The 27,482-nt window shown below is 46.6% G+C and overlaps 1 protein-coding gene and 1 long non-coding RNA gene across 24 annotated transcripts in view, besides 1 other annotated feature; one reads left to right on the forward strand and one right to left on the reverse strand.

The window, feature by feature from the left end:
- CTCFL (CCCTC-binding factor like) overlaps positions 1–13,962 on the reverse strand; it is a 29,688-nt gene extending 15,726 nt beyond the window's left edge. For 4 of the 23 annotated variants that reach the window (NM_001269042.2, NM_001269040.2, NM_001269045.2 and 1 more), the window contains exons 1-8: positions 13,784–13,962; positions 11,973–12,526; positions 11,378–11,588; positions 7,517–7,687; positions 7,068–7,201; positions 4,024–4,144; positions 2,902–3,051; positions 902–1,062 (exon numbers count right to left, since the gene is read on the reverse strand). In NM_001269042.2, the coding sequence (NP_001255971.1) occupies positions 902–1,062; positions 2,902–3,051; positions 4,024–4,144; positions 7,068–7,201; positions 7,517–7,687; positions 11,378–11,588; positions 11,973–12,515 (1,491 nt within the window). In that variant the 5' untranslated portion in view covers positions 12,516–12,526; positions 13,784–13,962. Of the gene's footprint in view, positions 1–901; positions 1,063–1,545; positions 2,183–2,901; positions 3,052–4,023; positions 4,145–6,807; positions 7,202–7,516; positions 7,688–11,377; positions 11,589–11,972; positions 13,008–13,337 lie in introns of those variants that run through there. The other 19 variants (NM_001269043.2, NM_001386994.1, NM_001386993.1 and 16 more) reach the window with 13 other exon arrangements.
- Positions 11,641–12,579: an enhancer, noted in NCBI's record as "H3K4me1 hESC enhancer chr20:56098387-56099325 (GRCh37/hg19 assembly coordinates)". NCBI's record gives its function as "activates a minimal SCP1, AML or CMV promoter by ChIP-STARR-seq in primed H9 embryonic stem cells {active_cell/tissue: H9 hESC(primed)}" and the evidence as "EXISTENCE:reporter gene assay evidence [ECO:0000049][PMID:30033119]".
- A 2,990-nt stretch (positions 13,963–16,952) lies between the features above and the next one.
- Positions 16,953–18,210, forward strand: LOC124904940 (uncharacterized). The gene is made up of 2 exons (XR_007067673.1): positions 16,953–17,777; positions 17,964–18,210. It is a non-coding gene; the product is annotated as an uncharacterized LOC124904940 (long non-coding RNA).
- Positions 18,211–27,482: the final 9,272 nt, after the last annotated feature.

Here is a 27,482-nt window from a genome sequence, read left to right on the forward strand (position 1 = left end):
AAGCAATTCTCCTGCCTCAGCCTCCTGAGTAGCTGGGACTACAGGCGTGTGCCACCACGCCCAACTAATTTTTGTATTTTTTAATAGAAACGGGGTTTCACCATATTGGCCAGGCTGGTCTCAAACTCCTGACCTCAAGTGATCCACATGCCTCGGCCTCCCAAAGTGCTGGGATTGCAGGTGTGAGCCACTGCACTTGGCCTACATTGTTCATTTTTTAAAAAAATGTCCACCAACGCCCAATGACTGAGTAAACAGAATTTGTTTATCTTGTTCCTTTCTTAGTGAAAATGACATTCACTGAGAAAGTGGCTACTTGAGCTGGAAATTCAAACAAACCCCCAGGTGCTTTTCCTCCAAGCTTTGGAAGACAGTGGAGGTGCGTATGCCGGCTTCTCATCTCATCACAAAGATTATTAAAAAGAAAGTATTCCAGGTAAAGACTGAATAAAGTTAACAACTTTAACTGCCTCTTCAAGCACACTGTCATGTAAAACTGCCCTTTATTTTTGCTGCCAGTGTGTGAAGGTGAAGAATACCACAACCACCAATTCCACTGGGTGTCACTGCCTTGATCCGGGCTAAGGACCACCACTACTTTGGCACCAAAAGTGCAAATGTCAATGTCTCAAAAGGGCAAATGACACCTTTCCATTATCATAACAAAGGCTTGGCTCTTGTGGGGCCCTAGTTGGTCACAGGGAGCTCTGGGGATATGTGAACATACTTTAAGAACTGTTGTTTTGAATGACTGGCTCACAGTTGCTTTCTGGTTATTCTGAATAGGCTACTCTATTAAAAGCATGACTTTTCTCAGTATCTTCAAGGTGGTAGAGAATCCCACCCAGCCCTCCATTCTTCCATACACCACTGCCTCTCCAAATTAAGTAAAGTACAATACCTGCTTGCAGGCATAACTGCAGTGTTTGCACTTGAACCTCTTCTCATTCTTATGAGTTTTCTGGTGCTGAATGAGGGCATAGCGTTCATGGAAGACAGCAGAACAGTAGCGGCATTTCAGCTCTGCAGCGCTGTAAGCATGCAAGTTGCGCATATGCACACCTAAAATGGTCACAGAACATTATATACTTCAAGAGTGTTGTTTTCTGTTAGCCTGCTTCCCCTCTCCTCTAAACCGGGGTTTCTCAGCCTTGGCGCTGGAACATGCTAGTTCCTTCCTGGGCAGGGCAGGGTGGGCTATCCTGTGCATTGTAGGATGTTAAGCAGCATTCCTGGTGTCTGTCTACCAGATGCCAGCAGCACCTCTTTCTCCCCGGTTGTGAAAGCCAAAATACCTCTAGATATCACCGCCTGTCTTCTGGGTGGTAAAATCATTCTCAGCTGAGAACCACTGCTTTAAACGAACAGAATGCTGAAATATCATTTTAATACTCTCGGTATGGAGTTAAATGTTATATAAGGTATGTCACACTGGACCTAAAATGTTCATTGAACAAAGCACTTTGAGAACTATTATGGGGTAGGTGAATTTTAGGATGATGTTAAGGTGGTTTTATATAAAAAGATATAATATCTTTATTTTACCTTAAATAATCCACTCGTTGTTAGAAGTCAGTGCCCTGTTATTTCCTATGTTGAAATTAACCTGAGACACATGGTAAGGTCTGGCTGGGTTTGCTCATCTAAGTCTAAAGCATGATGGTCTTGTGATACTTGTGTAAGAAGCCAAATGACAATGGACAGCTGTGTGATGGAGCTACTCCACCTTACCCACAGTGACTCAGACATTTAGAGAGCTTGATTTCTCATACAGTCATGGGAAGGAAGAATTAATGTGTTTATAAAGCATCTTATAGGGCTATGTGGAGTGTATCACCCACTGGCATGAGATGGATATAAACCATGTTACTTTGCCATGGTGTCAAAAAAGTCTAGCAACTGGCTAGACTTGTGCCCCACCAAGCCCCACTGGACTGTGTTTTGTGATGTGCTGGTATCTACGGCAACAATGACAGAATGGTCCAGATGAAAAATAAAAGTGAAGACTTTGTGGAACACCTTTCGCCTTTCAGAAAGGTTTTCAAAAAAATTCATCTCATCTCCAGAATCTCTTTGGGCAAAAGGGTCAAATTTTTTGTTCTGCTAACATATTTTTGTGTATCACAGTGTCATATATTTTGGAAAGAGAAATAAGATCATGGAAAAGGGAGGCCCAGGAATCCTGAAACAAAGAAGAGGCTCGTTCACTCACGCTTCCCACACCCTCCCTCCCATTGCTCAACACTGGCTGGCTTCCCCACAGGCAGTATCAAATCCCAGCTCCTAGGCCTGCTGTTCCAAGACCCTCTGGATTCCCTCTCCCACTCTGTGGGGTGTGACAGTTAAAAGGCTCACCGTGGTAGATGCGGATTACACGTTACAGGCCCGCCTCCTTTCCCGAAGTGACTGTCTTAAGGGGAAAACTGTGTCTTTTGAAACTTCTGCTTCCAAAACTTCTTAGGCCCACAGCCAGGGTTTAACAAAAGCTTGCTGGGTGCCATAGATAGAGCACTGATAAATAGGAACCCAGAATCCAGCCACCTCCTAGCACCCTTGGTTCGTATGACTCCCAGGCAGGTTACTCTATGTCTCTGATCCCCAGTGTCCTCATCTGAAAAATAGGCCCAATGTGGAATGAAGTAATACCCATCTGTGAAAGGTCTTATCACGTGCATACGGAACAGGCCTGGGCCCGGATTCTAAAAACATGCTATAAAATGCACTTATGAGATGCAGCCACCAGATGGTGCGACAGGACTTCTGGAAGAAAATTCGTCCCAGGGCCAAGTTCCCGAAGACCGGGCCTCCCAGTATCAGGGCCAGTACTTTGCAGGTTTATAGGACCACGCTCCAAAGAGCCAGCAAATGCTGTAGTAAAAGAAAGATCGCTAAACCACTCACGTAGGTCGCTTTTCCGTGCAATGATGGTGGCACAATGGGGACACTGGTATTTGGGGACATTTTCGCCGTGTTTCTGCAGAATATGTATTTTCATGGTCCCGCTCTGGGTGAAGCGGGTGTGGCAGATGTGGCATTCGTAAGGCTTCTCACCTGAGATGCAGACAACAAAGTGATTCCCCCTCCAGGCCTGATCCTTGCCAAAGGCCACCTGTGCTGAAAGTGTTTTTTTTTTTTGCCCCAAGCCTCCTTTATCAACCCCCTTCTCACCGGACAACCCCCAATTAGTATGAGACTCCCAAATCAAGCCCAGACAGCTTATGTCAAGTACAGCTGTGTCCATGATGGACCAGAGACATGACTTCCCCGCATCTGGTGGCTACGCAAGAGTTCAAGGTGGTTCACATCCATGGGGCTGTACGAATAACCAAGAAGTACACATAAATGTATTCTTAACACAAGACATCAAGTACCTCTGTTACAAAAGCAGCACACTTTATGTTTTGCCTTAAAGTTGAAGAATGAATTAAGGAGTTGACTTTTATTTATTTTTATTTACTTTTTCTTTTTTTTTGAGACAGGTTCTCACTCTGTCACCCAGGCTGGAGTGTAGTGGCGCAATCCCGGCTCACTGCAGCCTCAACCTCCTGGGTTCAAGTGATTCTCCTGCTTCAGCCTCCCAAGTAGCTGGGACCACAGGTGTGCACCACCAGGCCCAGCTAATTTTTAAATTACTCGTAGAGACAGGGTCTCCCTATGTTGACCAGGCTGGTCTCAAACTCCTGGACTCAAGGGATCCTCCTGCCTCAGCCTCCCAAAGTGCTGGGATTACAGGTTTGAGCCACCATGCCTGGCCAGGAGTTGAGTTTTAAATACCTGAAAAATCTACGGAAGCAAATACTTTGTGTTTTACTCCACACAGTGGGGTTGTGGCACAGTATCTATGCAGACTCTCTTACTGCTAAATAAAGGTAAAAGTACAGATCAAGATTCTTTTATCATGAAGGCACGCAAAAATCCACTTTTACCTTTGAACTTTAATTGTGCCAATAAAAAGTAATTTTTTAAAGCTTGCTTTAAGAGTTAACACTGTAGGTATCAGGCCTTCAGCACCAGAGCCCTTACCTGAGTGCGTTCTCATGTGGCGTTTCAGCTTGTAGGTATCTCTGCTGGCATAGCTGCACTGGCAACACTGAAAGGGGCGCTCCCCAGTGTGGGATCGGACATGGCGCTTCAATTTACTTGCCTAATAAATACATAAATGATGTTCGTTGCAATAGAAACTAAAAAATGGCAGAGTCTTCCATTAATCAGCATTGTAAAAGAGATTTAAATTAATCATATTTTAACATCAGAGCACCAGAGCATATTTCACTCACTGAAAAAACATGAAAAAGTCATCACTTTTGATCATCTGTTATGGGTGATTTTATCTCATTTGATGTGTGTGTGTATAAGCTCCTTTAGGGAAAATGAGCAGCAGTTCTGAGAGACTTTCGCGTTCACCTTCACTTTAAGCCTACCTGCCAAATGCCATACAAGATTTTGTTTTCATTTCTAAGGCAATATATGCTCAATAGTTACAAAATTTAGATTACACTGTAAAAGCACAAAGGCAAACATTTTTTTTTCCTTGCATAAAGTGAAAATCTTGAAACTCTAGCTCTCGTTGGGTGTGGTGGCTCACGCCTGTAATCCCAGCACTTTGGGAGGCTGAGAGGGGTGGATCACCTGAGCTGAGGAGTTTGAGACCAGCCTGGGCAACATAGCAAAACCCTGTCTCCACCAAAAATTAAAAATGAGCTAGGTATGGTGGCACACACCTGTGGTCCCAGCTACTCGAGAGGCTGAGGTGGCAGGACTGTTTGAGCCTGGGAGGCTGAGGCCGCAAAGAGCCAAGATCACACCACTGCACTCCAACCAGGGTAACAGAGTCAGACCATGTCTCAAAAAAAATAAAAATAAAAATAAAAACGAAACCCTAGCTCTTTAATGGAGGAACATCTGTATGTCTTGCCTCATGGTCACAAGTCCTGCAGACTCCACCCTGGCTGGCCCCACAGTAACAGTGTGAGTGGAGGAAGGTGTCCCTGGCTATTCAGCATTGGTGCCATGTGACAGCAGGTTCCTAAGAAGAATTAAGTTTTAAGTAGAAGAAATTAAATTCTAATTTGAGTAATTATGTATCCCAGGCAATCAGTTAAATAGCAAACAACATAATACCTCCCATTTGAGCATTCACTGCCTGACTCGTTGATTGCCTTCTAGAACTATTCTTATTCTGTATTCGTGTATCACAGGCCCTTATCTACTGCTAGCAGGAAATGGGGGCATCAGCTACACGTGGACTACAGACATCAGGAAGCTGCATCAGTCCTGCTGGTGACCCAGGGATGCCACACTCCATCTGCCTCCCCAGTAAGTGATGAGCGCACAGAAGCCTAAGGAACACTCGAGAACAAAAGAAAGCTTAGAATGGAAAACAACAGCCAAGCCAAAAAATTTCACTTAGGTTTTCAGAAGAAAAGTGAATGCCTTCAAGTATATTAGAAAGCAAAACAAAAAGAATTTTAAAAACTGTATAGCATGAAAGTTTTGAGGAGGATAAGTGGTGTGAATGAGCAAAGAAGGCCATTAAAAAAGACTCTGGATGACTCTTAAAGGTGGGATGGGAGGACAATGGGAGTTCAAATGCTTTTTTTTTTTTTTTTTTGGAGACGGTGTCTCACTCTCGTCCAGACTGGAGTGCGCGATTTCGGCTCACTGGAACCTCTGCTTCCCAAGTTCAAGTGATTTTCCTGCCTCAGCCTCCTGAGTAGCTAGGACTACAGGCATGTGCCACCACACCTGGCTAATTTTTTGTATTTTTAGTAGAGACAGGGTTTCACCATGTTGGCCAGGCTGGTTTTGAACTCCTGACCTCAAGCAATACGCTCACCTTGGCCTCCCAAAGTGCTGGGATTGCAGGCGTGAGCCACCGCGCCCGGCCAATTCAAAAGCTTTTTTAAAAAAAGGGGCACATCTGCACCACAGCTTTGATACGTTCCTGCTGCCATTTTTGTCACGGGATGGGATGAGGGAACAAACAAGCATGGCAAGACTTGAGGAGACTGCAAAAATGGGGGGCTATGGCAGCAATAGAGACCCCTGTGCTGAGGCTACCCCCCACAGGCTGCGTGCAGACCACTGGCACTGGGGGAGGGTCTCGTGGACCTAGGAAGTTTGTACTAAGCACCGGCAGGACACCAACAAAAAGTCCACTCCAGGCTTAGGATCCCCAGGTGACTCTGTTCCCTGATCCCTCCATTTTGCATTCTCATACTACAATCACAACCTTTAACTCAGATGAGAAATAATTTTTTTAAAAATAGTAACAGCAGAAAAAAGTTCTTGGAATCAAATTCTGACCCTAACCATGAAATTTCCCAATTTGTGAAACCCGGCTGCACTGTTACTATATTTAATCATCAGCTGTTCCCTTTAACTTAGTTCCATTTGGGTGTACTGTTGACCCAGTCCCGACCAGGCTCAAAACCGGGCCTCAGCCTGTTTCCCAGCACACAGTGAGACCCTGACAATTAACTGGTGGAAACTGGTACTGACTAGTAAAAGCAGTGCTCTGCCTGTTTCACGTGAGTACCGCCAAACCTGTTAGAAGGTACAAATAAAGCAAATTAATTAAAATGACTATGGCACACCTGAAGTTTGAAAAGGGTGGTCTCTCTGTAATTAAAAACAGAAACGTCTACGCTTAAATCTTCGAGCAAGCTGCTTTGTATCTAATCAAGCTCAAAAATTTCAGCCAACATTGAGATTGGATCTGCATTCTACGTTAGAGCAAATACATTTTGATTTTGTGGCCCAGAGTACTAGATAAAATGCAGAACTTTTAAACAAATCTGGGACTTATTTCTTGACCACAGATGGTTTATTTGTAATTTGTAAACCTTTACATATTATTTTCACTAATTAGTAATCAAAGAAACAAAGAAATCCAATTTTCTATTTTAACTTCATAAAAGAGAATGCATATTATTTCCTGCATAAATTTTATATGAATAATAAAAAGCCTGTTTGTAACAGATTCTACTGTTAGTTACACTTGGAGTAACTTGTACAGCAGCCTCTACTAAGATGCCATGAAGCTTCAAGTCCAAGAATGGCTTTACCTCCACACTGGCATACTTGCACATGGAACATTTAAAGGGTTTCTCATGAGTATGTTTATAGCGCCTGTGTCGGACGAGTTCTCCACTGGTGACAAATGCCATGTTGCAGTCGTTACACTTGTAGGGCCTGGTTCCTGTAAAATCACATAGTTCATACTTTCAAAACAAGACTTAACCAGAAACATTCCAAGGAATTCATAGCTTTTTAATTACACTCAGTCTCAAAAATGCTTTAAAAATTAAGAAGAGGCTCCTTAAACTATAAATACCACAGATGCATGTGAGAAAAATCTTTGTAACAGTATTTTTAATGGAAATTCAAGAAAAAGAAGACAAAACTAAAGTATAAAATGTTACACGATTCTACTGTAGAAACAGGTGGATTCACATTCTTAACATAAGCCTTAACACACATCATTCCAGAGAAACAGCCTTCCCGGCAGTTTTACCTGTGTGGGTGTTAACATGGTTCCGCAGCAGAGTGACCGTACGGAAGGTTTTCAGGCAGAGGTGACACAGGTGAGGCTTCTCACTGGTGTGAGTTTTCATATGACGATTAAAACTTGACATTCTAGAAGAGGTGAACATGCAGACATCACAGTGGAAGGTTCCTTTTGCTCCTATAGGCAGGAAATAGTTTATGTATTTGTTAGAGGTTCAAATTCCATTTAAATACTTGAAAGTAAATCAGCACATCGTCCTTTCAACTAACGTGGGAACTGAACAATAGCACATGCTATTTATATCCACAAGCTGATCGAAGCAATTCAGGACACCATGTTCCTGGATAATGAACAATGCATTTTCGCTGTTTCAAGATGGGCCGATGTCTGTTTCTGGGCACAGAGTGGACTAGGTACTCTGCTCATCCTTCTTGCTGAGAAAAACAATGCTAGGGAGGAGATGCCTGAACATTTCAGAATGTCTTGTAGACCTAAGGAGAGATGAGAAAAGGCACACCGCCTACCTGAAGTGGGGCGCCCAAGAAATGTGGCCCTGCATTCTCTGTAGGGTGAACTAAAGATAACCCGCCCCATCTCTGCATCCTTCTCTCTAGCCAGGGGACTGCAAGAAAAACCATCTAGAATGGTGCCATCCAAAACCACAGCCATAAGTCATGTGTGACTCTTAAATTTGGACTTAAACTAATTAAAATTAAATATAATTGAACATTTAGTTCCTCTGTTGTAAGCCACATTTCAACTGCCCAAAGGCCACATGGAGATAGTGGCCACCGTACTGAACAGGGCAGATAAAGACCATTTCCATCAGCAAAAGAAGTTCTCTTGGATGATGCTGGTCTAGCACTGATGGAGAGGTGAAAACATTTGCCCTAAGAAGATGGCTCCAAAGAGGGAAGGTGGCCCCAGTGAGCATGTCCTGGGTGGTTCTAACAGTAACCCTTGGGGGATCTGGTTTAAGACAGTTTTTGACCATCACTGCCTGGCAGAAATTAATATATACCATCCCTTGAAGAACCCACTTTCACCCCAGGCTTCAAGGGATTCCCACAGATAACAGTAAAAAGAACCAATCAGCTCACAGTGATAAATAAGATGCCAGTGCAAGGGCAGCGGAAACAAACAGAAGACTCAGACCTACAAAGACTTCAGATGTTGGAATCATCAAATACAGAATATAGCTGAGTTGTTATTCTCAAAATCCATCCCTCCATAAAAGCAATGAAAACAACTGGCAAAAAAATGTCACAAGCAACTTTTTCAGGACACTGGAAACTAACTGGAAGCTTCCAGCAACCAGGGGAAACAATTTAAAAAATCTAGCTGATTCTCAGTAAAAAAGAGAGCTTGGTGGAATTCTAACTTATTCCGGTTCCATTCTCTGCTCCCTAGCTCAGGGGTGGCCTTGAAAATAACAATCCAAGCTATATTAACAGAATGATGAAAAAAACAACAACACAAGATCATCTCAATAGATGCAGAAAAAGCATTTCATAAATCCAACACCGTTTTCTTGATAAAATACTCAACAAACTTGGAATAGAAGGTTTATGGGTTGAGTTGTGACCCCTGCAAAAATACATGAAGTCCTCATGCCAGATACCTGTGAATGTGATCTTATGTGCAGAAAGGGTCTTTGCAGATGCAATCAAGCTAAGCTGAGGTCATGCTGGATGAAGGTGGGTCATAAGCCAGTATGACTGGTGTCCTTATAAGAAGAGGAAAAGAGATGTAGAGACATACAGGAATAATTCCATGTGATAACAGAGGCAGAGATTGGAGGAGTAATGCATCTGCAAGCCAATGAATGGCACGACTGCTGGCAATATCAGAAGCTAAGAGAAAGGCATGAAATATATTCTCCCCGACAGCCTTGCAAGAGAGCATGGCTTTGCCAACACCTCAATTTCACACTCGTAGCTTCCACAACTGTGAGAGGTATGTTTCTGTTGTTTGAAGCCACTCAGTTTGTGGCACTTTGTCATGGCGTCCCTGGGAAGCTAACACAGTGCCAGTTAAAAATGGGCCAAAGATTTGAATAGCCATTTTTTCCAAAGAAGATACGTAAGTGACCAATGAAAACATGAGGAGATAGTCAACACCTTTCGTCATTAGAGAAATGGAAACCAAAACTACAACGAGATACCTCTTCACACCTGCTAGGATGGCTATAATTAAACAATAACAACAAATGGAAAACAAGCGTTGGTGAGGATGTGGAGAAACTGGAAGCAACACACACTGCTGGTGCAAATTCAAATTGGTGCAGCTGCTATGGAAAATAGTGTGGTAGCTCCTCAAAAAATTAAACATAGAGTAACCACACCATCCAGCAATTCCACTCCTAAGTATATACGCAAAAGGACTGGAAACAGGTGCTCAAACAAAAAACTTGTACACAGATGGTCATAAGAACACCATTCACACTTGCTGAAAGGTGGACACAATTGCAGTGTGCATCAGTGAATGAAGGGATAAATAAAATGTGCTATACCCATACAGGGATTATTACTTAGCCATTAAAAACGAATGAAGCGCTGACACATACTACAATACCAACAAACCCTGCAAACATGATGCTAAGCTCAAGAATCTAGACACGAAAGGCACATGGTATACATATATGATTCAACTTCTGGAAAATGTCCAGAACAGGAAAATCTACGGAAACAAAAAGTAAATTAGTGGTAGCCAGGGGCTAGGAGGAACAGAGTAGGAAGTGACTGCCTAATCGGTACAGGCCTCTTATTGGGGTGATAAAAATATTCTGGAATTTAGACAGTGTTGATGGGTCTACAAATTTGAATATATCAAAAACCTAAAAATGAGCTAGAAATTGTAAAACTTGGGGTGCAAAGCTCTTGATTTAAACATATGAGAAACTACTATGTACCAAAAGGCTGCAAACTCAACCACCTATGGAAGGCAGAGGCAAGAAACCTAAGTGAAGGGCCCTGACCACATGTAAGAATGGGGTGGTGGTGGCAGTGTTTGGTTGGCATTCTCCTTTTCTAAACTGAGTCACCTTCCAATCCCAGGCACCTGATGCCAGGAGGAAGGAAAACTGTGCCAAGTGTTGCCAGATATAATTTAAAAGAGCTAGAAATTGAAATTTTGGGGGTGAAATATGTTGATTTAAATAAGTGAGAAACTAATATTTTTAAAAAATAAGCCAAACAAATTATTTTCATAGGACAAATTCATCCTGTGGGCTGCTGGAATGAAATCTCAGTTTAATATGGCTTTAATATTGCTTCAGGGTCTTCCTAATCTGGACCCATCCACCTCTCTGAGCACCCACCCAGCTCTACAGACACAGTAGAGCTCTCCACCCTCAGATACAAAGTAAATACTTCCAGAGCTACACGCCCAGACCACTTCCTAGTACTTGGAATCCTGATCCCCATCTTAGTGGCTTCTTTGTCCTGGACTCACCTAAATATCACCTCCCTTAGAAGGCACCCTCTACGGCTTCCTGAAGGAGGAATCACTCCTTCTCTTGGCCCTGAAGCACACGAGGCCTCACCACCTGTCCTGTAATGACTTGTCCCCCATATCCCTCTGGGGCTGCAAACTAGGCAGCAGAGACCAGGGCTTGGTCTTCTATGCTTACGTGCACAAGGCTTTGTGGGAACATTTTTACTGTGCTTTCAAAACGTTTGTGTGTAAAGTGCAAAACCCTTCTGGATTTGATTCACAATACAGAACATTAGTTTAAAATTTCTCCCATTTCCTGACATTTTGAAAGTAAAAGTCAACCACTTAAAACTTCAATTACCATCACCTGCCCATAAAGAAAAACAGCAGCCCAGTTTTAGGGAGTGTATTCTATGAGATGAACTGGCCTACCCTTTGTCTTTCTTTGATTTTTTGTAGATTTGGCCTTTTCAGCATCTGCTTGACCAGCTGTAGGTTGATCCTCTTGTTCTTCCACATTTGAATTTGAAACTGTGAGAACAATTTCGTCACTTCTTTCATCTCCTGACATTGTTTCCACAAAAAAGAGCTGCTCCTTTGTTCTTTCAGCCAATAACTGGTTCTTCTCCTGCTCTTCCTCGAGCTAATAAACAACAAATATTCAAATATGATACTATTGATTTCAGTATAATTAGACTTTTGCCTGGATGAAGCACAGAATACAAAAAGAAAAGCCAAAGTGGAAGATTATGCATCACAATGTTAATTATTTCGCATCAGGGTTGTGGCAGTGAAACTTAACACTTTTTTTTAAAACATAATGCGCCTTACACTATTCCAATTAGCACCACTTTTAAAACTCTTTTTTAAAAAAGAACCTAAGAACTCTCAAGATTTTCCTGGGAAGTATTTGTACTGTCTTTAATTTGCAACTGCAAAATACCTTGTCCAGACATAATATTGCATAAAAGCCGACTTGAATTTTTTCTTTTTCATGTAAGGGGTTGTTTATTAAAACCAGCTGTACCTTGATCAGTCCAGTAGTTTCAGCCAGGCTCACCGCTAACTTACTGTCTTCACTGGCCACCATCACATTCTCCTCTAGAGCGTGGAACTGCAACACCTCCATCTCTTGCGGGGAGTACAGCTCTTGCTGGATACTAATGGCCACACACTGCTGCAGGCTCTGCCGGGGCCCTTCCTCAAGCCACAGCAACCCAGGGCCAGGCTGTTGCACCACCACCTGCACCCCTTCTTGCTGCTGTATGCTCAGCAAGCTCATATCCTGCAACTCCACAGCTTCAGAAGTGAAGTGCACCGTCTGCAGGGTCAGGATGTACTTCTCGCTCTCCTCCGAGGGGGCCAGCACCAGCTCCACTTCTTCCTCCAGGACGCTGTCCTGGAAGGCCCCAGAGGTACGCTCGGCCTCCAACTCACTAGGGCTCCGATGGTCTTTCTCTCTGCACACTCCGTCTTTTTCCTCCTCCTTCAGGCCTTTTTCCGGCATCAACTCGAGTTCTTTGATCTTGGTGAATTGCTCAGAAAGGACAGAGATCTCAGTGGCTGCCATAATGACTTGGCCTGTTTGAAAAATAAGCAAGCGGTTTCCATAGGGGGGAGAAGGGGGTGGTATGAGGAGGGATGCGGGGGGTGCTGGAACCTAGCAGGCTTTGGAGTTGAAACAAGGTCTGGCCTCAAAAGGTTTTGGACTTAGTAGGGTCAGAACAATGCTGATCTGGCTTGGGTCTAGGAGGGGGTCAAGGCTAAGCAGGATTTAGGCTAAAGCAGGATTTTGTACAAAACCCTAGAACGAACAGGTTTGGGCCTCAGCAGGCTTAGGGCCAGCACACATCCTGCGCCTGGCAAGGTTCCGCCTGAGCACACTCTGGCCCAGTGCATATCCTGGGCCTAGCAAGGTTAGGCCTGAGCCGGTTCAGTCAGTGAACATCCTGGGCCTAGTAAGGTTTGGGCCCAGCAGGCTCTCGGCCAGTGCATATCCTGGGCCTAGCAAGTTTCAGGTCCAAGCAGGCCCCGGGCCAGTGCACACCCGGCGCCCAGCGAGGTTCGGGCCCGAGCAGGCATTCCCCTCGTGCACGGTTCTAGACCTAGCACCCTCAGAGCCAGGCAGGCTTTGGGCCTAGTGGCCTCGAGCCCACCCAGACTTGGCCAAGCAGCCCTCGGCCAGACCAAGCACACTCCCTCGGAGGCCTGGCAGGGCCCCTGCTTTACCCTGCCCCCCACGCCCCGCCCCGACCCGACCCTCCCAGGCAGCCCCTCAGCGTCTGCCGCCCGCCCTTGGGCCTTTCCGGCCAGCCCCTCCCTCCGCCCACGCCCAGAACAGCCCATGCTCTTGGAGGAGAGCAGGTGGGCTTGACCGGGACTGGCCCCTCACCGCGGAAGGCGTGGCCGGAATGCTCGGCCCACTCCGTCTTTGGCTTGTGGGCTCTGCCTCGTGCACCGCGTGCTGCAGCCCACAGCCGGCCGCCGCCGGGCTGGCGCGAGAGTGGAGGGTGGCAGTGCGCAGGCGCGGAGCGGAAAAGAGGGGGCGTGAAGGGGGCGGAGCCAGGCAGGGTTGGGGGAGGGGGTGATGTACTGTGGGGGCAGGGGGGAAGGGGAGTAGGGAGGGGGAGGGGGAGCACGGATGAGGAGGACCCCAGAGGGGGCACTGGTGGACCTGGGGGGGTGGATGAGGAGGGGAGGAGGGTCCCATACAGGGCACTGGGAGACCTGGGGTGGGGGTGGATAAGGAGAGGAGGAGAGCCTGCAGGGCACTGGAAGACTGGGTAGTGGGGGAGCGCCTAAGGAGGGGAGGAGGGTCCTGCAGGGGCACGGAAATACCTTGGGGTTGAAGTGGATGAGGAAGGGAGGAGGGCCCCGCAGGGGGCGCTGGGAGACCCGGGGGGGAAGTAAGGAGGGCACGAGGGCCTGCAGGGGGCCTGGGAGATCTGAGGGGGAATGGATAAGGAGGGGAGGAGGGCCCACAGGAGGCACTGAGATACTGGGGGGAGGGGTGGAATGAGGGGGGGAGGGGTGGAATGAGGCGGGGAGGATAGCCCTGCAGGGGGGCTGGGAGACCTGAGGGGGGTGGTGGGTAATGGATAAGGAGGGGAGGGGGGCCTGCAGGGGGCCTGTGACACCTAGGGGAGGGGAATGGATAAGGAGGGTAGGAGGGCCAACAGGAGGCACTGAGATACCAGGGGGAGGGGTGGAATGAGGAGGGGAGAGCCCTGCAGGGGGGCGGGGAGACCTGAGGTGAGGGTAATGGATAAGGAGGGGAGGAGGGTCTGCAGGGGTTCTTGGGAGACCTGGGGGATGAATAGGAGAGGACAAGGGGAGGAGGGTCTGCAGGGGGCCCTGGGAGCCCTGCGGGGGGCGAGGGGTGGGGGAATGGATAAGGAGGGGAGGAGGGCCTGCAAGGGGTGCTGGGAGACTTGGGGGAGGGGAATGGATAAGGAGGGGAGGAGGGCCTGCAAGGGGTGCTGGGAGACCTGGGGGAGGGGAATGGATAAGGAGAGGAGGAGGGCCCGCAGGAGGCACTGAGAGACTGGGGGGAGGGGTGGAATGAGGAGGGGAGGAGAGCCCTGCAGGGGGCGCTGGGATACCTTGTGGGGGAATGGATAAGGAGGGGAGGGGGTCCTGCAGGGGGCGCTGGGAGACCTAGGGGAGGGGAATGGATAAGGGTGGGAGGAGGGCCCGCAGGAGGCACTGAGATACTGGGGGGAGGGGTGGAATGAGGAGGGGAGGAGAGCCCTGTAGGGGGCGCTGGGAGACCTTGGGGGGAATGGATAAGGAGGGGAAGAGGGCCCTCAGGGGGCGCTGGGAGACCTGGGGGGGAAATGGATAAGGAGGGGAGGATGGCCGCAAGGGGCACTGGGAGACGCTGGCGGGGAATGGATAAGGAGTGGAGGGGGGCCTGCAAGGGGCGCTGGGAGACCTGGAGGGGAAAGGATAAGGAGGGAGGAGGGCCTGGAGAGGGCGCTGGGAGACTTGGGCGGGGGTGGAGGGAATGGATAAGGAGGGGAGAAGGGCCTGCAGGGGGCACTGAGACCTGGTGGGGAATGGATAAGGAGGGAGGAGGGCCTGCAGGGGGCGCTGGGGAACCTGGGGGGCTTGGATAAGAAGGGGAGGAGGGCCTGCAGGGGGCGCTGGGAGACCTAGGCGGGGCAGGGGTGGGGAATGGGTAAGGAGGGAAGAAGGGCCTTGCAGGGGGCGCTGGGAGACCTGGGGTCGGGGGGAGGATAAGGAGGGGCAATGGGAGAGGATGGGGAATGGGGTGCTTAGAGACTTGGGTGGGAAATGGACGCAGCAGGGACTGGGCGGGGAGAGACCTTACAAGGGTTCCAGGAGATGGGTTGGGGTGGGCTGGACAGGGCAGAGTGGAGGGTGAGGAGGGCCCTCTGTGAGCCACAGAGACCTGAGCAGGAGCTAGGTGGGGGCTGGGAATGTGCAGGAAAGGAGACGTGGAAGGAGGGGGAGATAGGGCGGCAGGGGTGATGGAGATTGACAGGGACCCCAGACATGGGGGTAGGGAAATGGGGATGGAAATAAATGGAAAAAAAGAGGCTTCGTGGTGGGAAAGAGGAGGAACTCCGAGGGCTCCGGGGCACTGAGGTGTGCAGAGTTGCCGGGTCCTGAGTACCCTCGAGGGAGCAGAGGGAGCTCGAGGAACGAGGAAGAGAGGGGACGACGAGGGCAAAGAAGGGAGAACGTAGGCGGGTGTGGAGGAGGATGAGCGTCCGAGGGAGAAGACGGAGGAGTTGAGCAGAGAAAGGGCAGGAATGTGGGGGCTGGAAAGGGTGAGGAGGCAGCCGATGGAGCAGGGGTGCATCGGAGTTCATGGGTACTTCCCAGGAGCTCATTTAAGGCAGGTGGGAGGGCGGGGGACGTGGAGGGGCGGCCACACTGTGAACGGACTGAAGCCCACTTAACTGTTCACTCTAAAGTGGTTCAGTTCGTTACGTGTGTTTTCACTTCAATCAATTGCTTTTAATGGAAATTAATCATATTGATGGTCTCCAGAAGAAGTTGGGTTGATACCTGCAACCAGATTTTAAAAATGCAAATTTGGAGCCAATGAGTGAATGAAATAATTTGTACCTCACTGATTCTTTTAAGGCATAGCTTACAACGTTCCAGAAACTGTTCTATTTGTTTTCACTTTTGTTTCAAAATCTTAATGGCATTTTGTTTGCTGATTGTGAATAAATATTTGTATGCTGCGAAAAGCAAATCCAAAACCAACAGCTCAAAGGAGAAAGTGTGGCAAACAGGAGATTGGAGATTGGACCCCAAAACTCCTGGAGTGACGAAAATTGACCTGGATGAAGAAATGGCTTTCTCTTGGCCTTCTTTTGTTTAAACATATCTTCCAGTCCTGGGGATGGATTTCCCTCCCATCCATAGCCAGAGAACTTTCTGTATCCATCAAAGTGCTTTCTATGTTTGCCCGCTCTCCACAGCTCCCTCTTTGTCATTCGCGAATAGTATATAATCAAATATTGTTTTCATTTTCAATAATATAAAAGATAGAACTAAATTCAGCTTTGAAAGACACCCATGTACCAGTGGGTACTGGTACACTTGCCAGTGACTTTCTTCGCTCCCTAGTTTCTGCGTGGTGTCTGGGGTTTCCGTCACAGTATATGTACTATACAAAGAAAATAAATATTTGAAGGTCACTGGGAAAGTAGTATGCTATAATGACTTACTTTAAATCATTTAAATGAGTTTTTCTGCTTGAGTAATCAGCACCTATTTAGTGCCTCCTTGAGTAATTTTGCGTGATGGCTGTGACATGCTGCTAGGAAGTTTTTCAGAGTTTGTATTATAGAATCATGTTTAGAAAATTTCAAATACCAATTTAAAAGGCATGTTTTAAAAGGAGATATAAAGCCAGTGGGAGGAGGGATAGAGAAAGGGGAAACTGAGTTAAATTTGAAGGGGACAAAGGGGCTTAAAAAGAGAAATAGATGGAAAGGGAGGGATGAGGAGGAGGAGAGAGGGCCAAGCAGGCAGGGGAGGCAGGCCTGCAGTTGCTAAACTTTGCTCCTTCCCCGCGTTCTTGGATAATATTTGTGGGGAGGCACTCCAAGCCAGACCTGCTGGATTTCCTGCTCGTAGGCCTGTGCAGCCCAGGAAACTGTTCAGAAAAGTAGGAGGTAGGATCCTATTTGTACCCTGAGTGTGTGGAGCAGTTTCTACCAGGTAAACCTTCCATCCCTGTTTTTTAGGGGATCAAGATAGACTGCAAGGCAAGATGCTTGCATTTAGTCTCAGATGAAAAGAACAGTGGACTCCCGGGCCCTCATCCTCCTTGTCAAGTCTCAATTCCTCAGATGGGCTTCAGTTCTCTCTTTAACTAATGCTGTGCACCTGTCCAGCCTTTTCATCTACAGAGTTCTGTCTCTGCTCCATCCAGACCCATCTCCTCCTTATCCCCAGGGGCTGTGCTAGAAGTGGATGTAAGGGGCAGAGTGTGTCTTGTTGCTTGCATCCAAAACCTGCTGAGACCCAGGCCCTCCTCGTAGCAAATGCCATTCGGTCTCTTACAGATGCCCAGGTGTGGTGACGGGCCAGCCATGGGTTCCCCCAGTGCCTGCTGTGGAGCTTGGTCACTTGCATCCTCCGGGTAACAATGATATTTATTATGCCTTTTGTACCCGATGTTTGGGGATTTCCATGTGGTGGACAGGTGAGCTTTGCTCTCCCAGCTGCCAACTGGCTGTAGTGCACATGTTTTGCAGGTGGTATTGCTTCGTGGTGGGTCCACACTATGAGCTTATCAGGCAATGTGCTCAAAGGAAAGGAAGGCCTTGCGAAGTATGTGGCACAGGTAGGGGCTATACGCATATTACTGTGTCCCCCCAAATTCATATGTTGAAGTCCCAACCCCCAGTACCTGGGGGTACAAAATGTCACGATATTTAGAGGTAGGACCTTTAAAGAGGTAATTCAGTTTGAACAAAGGCCACGGGGGGCAGTAGGGGTGGGGGAGAACTAAGCCACCTGACTGTGTTAGGGCCTCCAAAGAAGTGATTATTAAAATGATGGCGAGAGGATGGGGTCCCAAGCCTACCTGGCTGAGGTCCTTATAAGAAGAGAAGACACCAGAGAAGGACACACACAGAGGAAAGGCTGCGTGAGAGCAGCAAGAAGATGGTTTTGTGTGAGCCAAGAAGGGGGCCTCGGGAGAACCAAACTTGCCAACACCTTGCTCTTGTACTTCCAGCCTCCAGAACTATGAGAAATAAATGTCTGTTTTCTTAGCCACTCAGTCTGTGGTGTTTTGTTACGGCAGCTCTAGCACACCAGTGCAGGTACACACCAGGAGAGGCTCACACCAGTGCAAGCTCACACCATTGCAGGCTCATATCAGTGCAGGCACACACCAGGACAGGCTCAAACCAATGCAGGCACACACCAATGCAGGCTCACACCAATGCAGGCTTACACCAGTGCAGGCACACACCAGTGCAGGCTCACACCAATGCAGGCTCACACCATGCAAATGGGACCGAGTGTGGGAGGCTGTGCTACTGCATGGTTGCTGAAAGCAAATGTTGGAAAACATATTCCACTTAGCCCTTTGGGCTAAGAATTATCCCCAGCACATGTGCTTGACTGGGTGGGCATGGGGACAGATGAGCTCTAGAGCATTATTTGGAACTGGCATAGATTCAGATAGAGATGGACAAATCAGAAATGTAAAAATATTTTGAAAAAAATTCTATGAGGCAGCAATGGACGAGACAGGCCATTGAGTGCTGTCATTGTCTTTAAAAAATACTATGTTCACTGCTTTCAAAGTAAGTGTCATGAGGTTTATTACTTAGTGGTTCTCTGGCTCCCCTAAGTTGACTGTAAAATCTTTATGAGGCACTTGGTAAGCACATAAGTATTTGAAGTACCCAAGGGATAAAAGAGCTCGGTAGTGAAATGGTGAGTGAAGGCTGGAATTGCCCTAAAGTCTGGGTAGGAAGGGGGCCTCCAGCTGAGTATGCCAAGCAAGTAACATGAATTATCTCTCAAATCTTCTAGAAAGCCCTATGAGGGGGCAGTATCATAATACCCTTTTCACAGAGAAAGAAATGGAAAGGTTAAGAAACTTGCTCAAGGCCAGGCACGGTGGTTCACACCTGCAATCCCAGTGCTTTGGGAGGCTGAGGCCAGAGGATCACTCGAGGACAGGAGTTTGAGACCAGCCTGGGCAACATAGTGAGACTCAGTTTCTACAAAAACAAAAAAACCAAAAAATTAAAAAATAAAAACTTGCTGAAGTGGTGGAAACAGTGATTCAGGGATCTTTGTCTTAAATACTTTGTAATGTGTTATTTATTATGCTTCTTGTTAATTTCTACATGGGAAATTATATATATGTTTATGTTTTTAAATATATATTATATATACTTATATATTAAATACGTATTTCTACATATGTTTCCCATATATGTGCTATGTAATATATATGGTAAGAAAGCTCAACATGGGTAAGGATCTTTGTGAGTTTTGTTAACTGTTGTATCCAAAGTGCCTGGGACAGGACCCTTGACAACAATTTGTGGAATAACTGAGTGTTGGAGTCCATTGGCCTTCGACCACTCTTTTTTACAGCCCCTCTGGCATACATGAAGGGTGAATCTGAGTTTTATATCCCACAGCCTTACACAAATAAATGTCATGATTGCGTTTTCTCTTGTTGTTCTGCAGTGGTATTTACCTGGACAGTTTAATGATGTCTCTGACCTCTTCATTTTAAGAAACCTTTCAAGAACTTTTTACTTCATTCAACAGTTGTCTATTCATGCCATAGGTATTTATAATGAACTGTGATATCTATATTGTGGAGAAACGGGGTGCTCAGAAAGCTTTTCTTTTTCTTTTTCTTTTCTTTTCTTTTTTTTTTTTATTCTGAGATGGAGTCTCACTCTGTCACCTAGGCTGGAGTGCAGTGGCATGATCTTGGCTCACTGCAACCTCCGCCTCCTGGTTTCAAGTGATTCTCCTGCCTCAGCCTCCTAAGTAGCTGGGATTACAGGTGCACGCCACCATGCCCGGCTAATTTTTGTATTTTTAGTAGAGATGTGGGGTCTCATCATGTTGGCCAGGCTGGTCTCGAACTCCTGACCTCAAGTGATCCACCCACCTTGGCCTCCCAAAGTGCTGGGATTACAGGCATGAGCCACCACACCCAGCCCAGAAGTCTTTTCTGAAATGTAATCTGGTAACCAGAATTTCCAGCTTTGGCACTTTATGTGTCAGTTCCCCTAGATATACTATGGACCTGCATTAAGGCAAAGAGAATTTAACACATACCAGGCCAGGAAATAGGTCTTAGGGTTAAGATTTATTAGTACTGCCTCAACTGCATGCATTAGTATAATCAGCTCAATTCTCAGGAAAAACAGCTGGGAGTGGGTTGCTACCTTGTCAAATGGCAGAACTAGAGGGTAGACACCAAGTTTTTCTTCTGCACAGTTGATTCTTCTGTATTTATTTATTATCACTCTGAAGCCTGACCAGCAGCTGGAATGTAAACTGTTATTTCATCCACGCTTACGTGGTGCCTGGCTCCTCTTAGTGTTATAAAGATAATTTGTACCAAAAAAGTACATAAACAGTTTAGTTCCCTTTCACCTGATTTCAACCAATGAATGGCAAAGGAGTGTCCATTTAAGAGCATGTCAGTTAACCTGTTGGGCAAATGTTGTTTATATACAGAGCACTATACTTTGAACTTTGATATGAACACAGAGAGGGTGTACCCTTATTGAACAAGCAGTTCAGCTTTGCTCATGGAATTGGCCACAGAGGTGAGGAGTTTTGGGACACATGAAGCCCCAGAGAGAATTTTTAAGACTGTTTGTAATGTTTGTGAAGAGGAAGAGGTGGAGTAAAGAATGGGAATTCGACTGTACAAGTGCACCAGGTGTTCTGGAACTCCCCAGAAATTTATCATTAAAACCTCTTCCTTCTCCTACTTATCCATGAAGAAGCATTTGGTAAATAAGCAAATAAAAGCTTTATTACCTTCCTACCTTCCCTCCTTGGATTGCAGGTGTGAGCCACCCTGCCTGGCCTTGAGCAAGCTTCTTAAACTTTCTTTCTCCATGAAAAGGGGATTATGATACTGCCCCCCATAGGACTTTCTGGAACATTTGAGAAGTAACTCATGTCTCATGCTTAGCCTACTCAGCTGGAGGTCCCCTTTCTGCCCACATTAAATGGGGTCTGAAAGCAAGCATCTTGGGGGAGAAGAATCTGGAAAGTGCATTTTAATCCATAAATGGTCATTTGGGTGGCAGATGGTGAAGGGGCTGATGTGAAGGACGACTTTTTCTCCTTTGCATAATTGCTTTGAAAAGTACACATTAATAGTGCAAAGAGAAAGGTAAGAATCTTGAGGTGGGAAGATTATCCTGGATTCTTCAGGTGGGCCTAATGTCATCCCAAGGGTTGATAAAAGGGAGGCAGGAGAATCCGAGTCAGAAGGAGATGTGAAAAGGAAGCAGAGAGACAGAGATTAGAAGATCAGAGGCAGCTGGCTTTGAGATGGAGGAAGGGACCACAAGCCGAGGAATGGTGGTGGCCTCTAGAAGCTGGAAAAGGCAAAGAAAGAGATTTTCCCCTAGAGCCTCCAAAAGGGACACAGCTCTGCTGACCCATTTTAGACTTCTGACCTCCAGAACTTTAAGCCACTCAGTCTGTGGTCATTTATTACAGCAGCTGGGGAAACTCATACAGGAGTTTCCTGCATCCAGGATGCCCCACACCTCTGCTTCTCCCTCCTCATGGCTACCCCCTCATCTCGGTGCTGCTTCTGGTTTCTCCTCCTGGCCTTTCAAGAAGAGATGGGGGAACCCAGGCACAGCCCTTGGATCTTTCCTCTCCCCACACTCTCCCTTGGGGATCTTATCCAGTTTCGACGTTTTCAGTGAACTGTGTATGCATGATGGCTTCCCGTCTCCAATGGGGACCGCTTCCCTGCCTCCAGACCCTGGGACCCATCTGCCCCCCATCATCCCTGTCAAAATGTCTAATGGGCAAACGTAGCTTGTCCAAGGCAGAACACTTGCTCCTTCCACCTGAATGCTGTTTTACCTAGTCTTCCCATCACAGCTAATGGGGATCCTTCTAGATGCTCTGGCTGAACACCTTAGAGGTTCCTCTTTCTCTCACAGATGAATCTATTCCATCAGCAAATGCATCTACCTCAAAAGTGTCTTCAGAATCTGGCCACCTCTCCTTACCTCCTGGCCCCCACCCTGATCCGTCTATCATGCCACTACTCCAGATGCCACCACTCCAAATGCCACCACTCCAAACGCCACCAGGCCCAATGCCACCACACCCAAGCAGGACCCTTCCACGGTGCCCTTCTCCTCTCAGACATCACAGTGGGCCACCCTATCTTCCACCTGCTCCCACCTTGTGGCCTCTTGCTGTTGCTCAGACACCCCAAGCTGGCTGATACCCCAGGGACTTGGCATTTGATGTTCCTTCTGTGGGGATGCTCTTCCCCCCAGTAGCAATACTTGTTCTTCCACTTTCTGCAAGTCTTTGTTCAACTGCTCTGTCTCTGAGGCCTTCCCAGTCCTCCCTATTAAAAATTACAACCACAGGAGGATTGCTTGAGCCCAGGAGGTCGAGGCTGCAGTGAGCTGTGATTGTGCCACTGAACTCTGGTCTGGGCAAGAGAATGAGACCCTGTCTTAAAAAAAAAAAGAAAAAATTGCAACCCCAGTTTTCCTTGTCTCCTTTATTTTTCCCAGGATTAAAAGTTGCTGGGGCCAGGCACAGTGGCTCACTTCTGTAATCCCAGCACTTTGGGAGGCTGAGGTGGGCGGATCACTTGAGCCCATGAGTTGACCATCCTGGGTAACATAGCAAAACTCCATCTCTACCAAAAAAAAAAAAAGGAAAAATTAGCTGGGTGTAGTGATGCATGACAGTGTTCAAGTTACTCGGGAGGCTGATGTGGGAGGATGGCTTGAGCCCAGGAGGCAGAGGCTGCACCGAACCACGATGACACCACTGCATTCCAACCTCGGTGAAAGAGTAAGACCTTGTCTCAAAAAAAAAAAAAAAAAAAAAAAAAAGAGTTGCTGGTATCTCCTCCAAAAATTGGGTGCTGGTGGTCTGCTATGGATACATGTAATTAAAATGTACAATGTGCCTAGGACAAGGTGAGGGTTCTTTCTGCTTTGGTTCTCTCCCCAATACCAGATCAGTGCACGCCACATAGCAGTCAATCAACAGATGTCTGTTGAATGAATGAACCTGAACGTATAATTGTGCAATAAGCTTACCTGGTTCTAAGAGCTGAGTGTTCAAAATAAATTTGCAGTGGGTTTGGTTTATCTCTAAGATTAGTTGTCTATATTTAAGTTTAACATAATATGCACCTTAGCACTTCTTTAACATCTCTGTTTATAGAACTTATAAAGGCTGTTTACTACAATAAAACAATATAAAACAGAATCCCCAAACTGAAGCTGAAAATATATTCACAGTTTACCTTTCCTGCTCTAATTACCTCTGGCTTCTTCTTGATACAGGTTCCAAAACATATTTTCTCCAGAATTAAAATTCAGAATAATTGCCCCGGACAGGGAAGGGACAATTTTCATTTGGAACAAGGGCTACATTTAGGTCGATAAGAGAACTCATGGGAAGAGACTGCTTTGTCTTCCATACGCTGAGGGGCTCCTCCTCAATTCTGGGTCTTCAGGGCTGCCCTGGGGAGAGGCTGACCAAGTATCTGCAAAGCAAAGGAAGGAAAGAAGGACAGAGCAGGTTGTCAGTGAACAAGCAGCCCACCATGGGTCAGAGGGAGGCTGGAGAAGGCTGATAAAGCTGGACTCCCAAAGGGTGCGGCTCCAGCCAGAAACACACTCTCAGAGCCAGGGACCAGGGGAGAGGACGTTGTTTGGTGCAGCTTGCCCTATTCTTCTCTTGACAGCAGAACTGTCCTGATTCAGGAAATCACCTTGACAGTTTATCTGAGGGTGGAAGGAAAGACCCCGATCAAGACACGAAGGGAGAAAGCCAAAAGACTCCATGTTAGAAAGGGAGAACTCCTCACTTTTACTTTTTGTTTTTTTGTGTGTATGATTTCAAAGGGGTGGGACATGAAAAGAACAGAGAGAAAGTGGGGAAAGTGGATAACCAAACCGTCCTGCGAAATGGCCGAAATATTGTTTAAAGATGTATCTTACTAAAGGACTGGTTGTGCGTGCCTCCTTCAAGCCGTCAGCCTGCTGTGGGGCACTCTCAAAAGCCTTGGGGAATGGTTTCTTGTGTGTTTGCTTGTGGTGCGGTGTAGCAAAGAGGCTGGTTCCTGACAGAGCAGGAGCACTGACATCTCGGACAAACACCGCCATTTTAAAATCCAGCTCCTTTTCTAGCCTCATGCATTTCAAGGAAATCACTTCTTTTCTAACTACAAGCAGCCGGAAAGAGCAGACAGTAAAACACAGAGAAGACAGCCCCCGCCCAGAGGGGAGGTGGGGGAAACTCTCTTGGGTAATTGCCAAACTTCACCCTCATACCATGGGCCCCAGTAAAACAGTGGGCCTTAATAAGCACACTCCTTTCCCTTCAGGTGCACTAAGATAGGGAATGTAAAAGCAGACTCAGGGAGTATGCCTGCAGCTGCAGAAAGATGTATGGGAACAGACACACAACTCTCCCTCCCAGATAAGCACAACAAAGAGACACAGAAGGAGTCCAAGCCTCTGATAAACTCTCCCACCCTAAATCCTTAAAAACTCTTAGTCTGTAAGAAAGTGTGCCTCTGACCTAATGTGGCCAGATGTCCCTCTCAGGTTTGTTTTCTCTAAAATAATCCTGTCTTGACCATCAGGCTACCTTTCATGTTTCTTTCCTCTTTCTTTAATTCTTACAGTTCCCTGTCCATAGGAGCACGTGCAGGGCAGGACAGCATCGTGGGAAGGGGAGGGTGATCAGCACCCAGAATCAACCCATAGTGGGGAGCTTGGGCACAATATCTACCACTGGGATTTTGCTTGTGTTTTTCCAAAAAAACTTTTTGTTTTGAAAATAGTTATAGAGTCACAGGATATTGCAAAAAAAAAAAAAGAAAAAAGAGTATGCAGGGAAGTTCCATGTATCCTTCCCTCAATTTCTCCTAATGGGCACTTCTTATGTGTTATTATACAATATCAAAGCCAGGAAACTGACATTGGCACAATCCAGAGTTTGTTTAGACTTTCACCAATTTTCCCTGCACACATTTGTGTGTGTGTGTGTGGTGTCTATCACATGTGAAACCACCACAATCAGGATGCAAAACAGCCAATCACCACACGGATCCCTTAAGCTACCCATTTATAGTCACATCCACCCTCTTCCCTCACCCCACCCAGATGACTGTAAGAATTTAACCCCTTTGGGAACTGGCAGAAGTCTTGGAAAGGACATTGGAATATTCCACAAGGCTCGTATGGAAGGTTCATGCCTATCTTATCTGGATATGAAGGGCCATCTAGGTTGCTGTACTGTAATGCTGGAACTATGTTGATGATACTGAAAAGAACATTCATTGATTTTAATCCTGAATAGCTCACACTCCAAAGTCCTCTCATTTCACAAAAACAGTGGTGCCCAACCCCTTTCTGCATTGGTAGACGGTCTCTGGTGAGGGGCAGGATGGTGCACAGGAGCCATCCTGAGGCTGGGTCCTTGAGCATGAGGGGTATCCATGGATAGGGAGAAGAAGGCATCAGGGAGGTGGTGAAGCATGGGAGGGGTTCATCTTTTTCAGCAGCCCCAAATCCTACTCAGTGCAGTGGCACTGATTGTGTAAATGAGACATCACAGGTTCCTACATTATGAATAAATGATATATTTTAAAACCTAGGACAAAGGTTACAGAGTGATTTGCCTGCAGGAACCAGGCAAGTTAATGACTTTGGCAGCTGGAGAGGGACAGGTGTCCTCTGTCCCAGGTAAGTTCTCCTGATTTTCAAACAGTGACAATTAATTAAAAGAAATTTCAAATTCTCCCGTCAACCAGACAAAATATATGCATGAACTAGTTTTGGTCACTGCCAGCTGGTGACCTTTATCCTGGATATTTCTTCACAGGTTCTCTTCCTTCCTTCCTTCCTTCCTTCCTTCCTTCCTTCCTTCCTTCCTTCCTTCCTTTCTTTCTCTCTCTTTTTCTTTCTTTCTCTCTCTTTCTTTTTCCTTCTTCCTATCTCTCTCTCTCTCTCGCTTTCATTTTTTTAAGTCACAGAACAAGAAGACACAGAAGGAAGAAATCATCCTGAAAGTACTTGTAAGCACTTTACTAACCCATTAAGTCATTGCTTTTCTGAAAGGAGAGCTCTGGAAATGATAATAATGAATATTTGCATAATGCTCTAAGGCTTACCAAAGTCATGTTGGAATACACCGCCTTGATTTTCCTCCTAGGGAGGAATGGATAGTTTGTCTAAGGCATGGATAGTTTGTCTAAGGTCTCAAGGCAGGGAGCTGGATGATGTAACCAGGACTGGCACCCAAAACTGACTTCACATCCCATGCTCTATTTCAATCCCATACCCAATCCTCTTTTCTTTTGGCTCCCTCTCCCCAAACCAGTGTGCCTACAGCAGAGCTCAGTTTTCTTTGCCAGGCATTTCTGACCCTTCTCAATTGGCCCCAAGCTGGAGAATTCAGCTGCCACCACCCCACCAACTATGCCCACTCTCCCAAGTGAGTGTGGAGTTGAAGACATGAACCAGCAACTCACCCTCGGTCAGTTTCAGATACATGTTCTTCTTAGGGTGAGTCAATCTGAGGGGTTCAGCACTGTCCTCAAGTCTTAGCCCCGTATCAGTTTGAGCTCCCCTGGAAGCAGCACCGAGAGTCCAGGGCTTGGGTGCAGGTAGTTTATTTGGAGAGGATTCCAGAAGGAAGTGAGGGAGCAGGGAAATGACACGGGGAAGAAGGAAATCCAGCATAAGGGCAAATTATTGAGGCCTCTGCTGTAGTCCATGGATGCTTGAATGCCAGAAAAGCTTCCAGAATGCTTCCCAGATTGCCTGCCAGAAGGACTGTGGGCAAGGAGTGTTCGCCCACCCCCTCTCGTGCTTGCAGTCAAGGGATGCTCTTGGGGTATCCCCCCACTTTCTATGTTTGCACATGGATTAAAGGGGACACCCACTCTGAGGAAGGCCCTTAGGCAGAGAAGGATACCCTGGGCTCCACATTGGAGCCTGGGGAGCCTGAACACACACGGAGCTGTCACCACAGGTACGTACAAAATCAGGGTGTGAGGGCACCTTAGGGGTCTTGCCAGAGCTCCCAGCGACATGACAATTACTTCCATGGTGCCAGCCAGAGAAATAGGGTCTGTTTCCAATACAGAGGAGCAGCTGGCTGTGCTGGACCTGTTGTGTTGAAACTGAGAGGTTATTGCAGCTTTTTGAGGAATTTTCATGTAGAATTTAGACCATATGTAATTTTGACTGTGTTCAGAACCTAATTCCCATAGGAAATTTTATCTCACCTCTTTCAAACACACCTTATTATA

Source organism: Homo sapiens, chromosome 20, assembly GCF_000001405.40.
Source record: "Homo sapiens chromosome 20, GRCh38.p14 Primary Assembly".
Taxonomy (NCBI): Eukaryota; Metazoa; Chordata; class Mammalia; order Primates; family Hominidae; genus Homo; species Homo sapiens.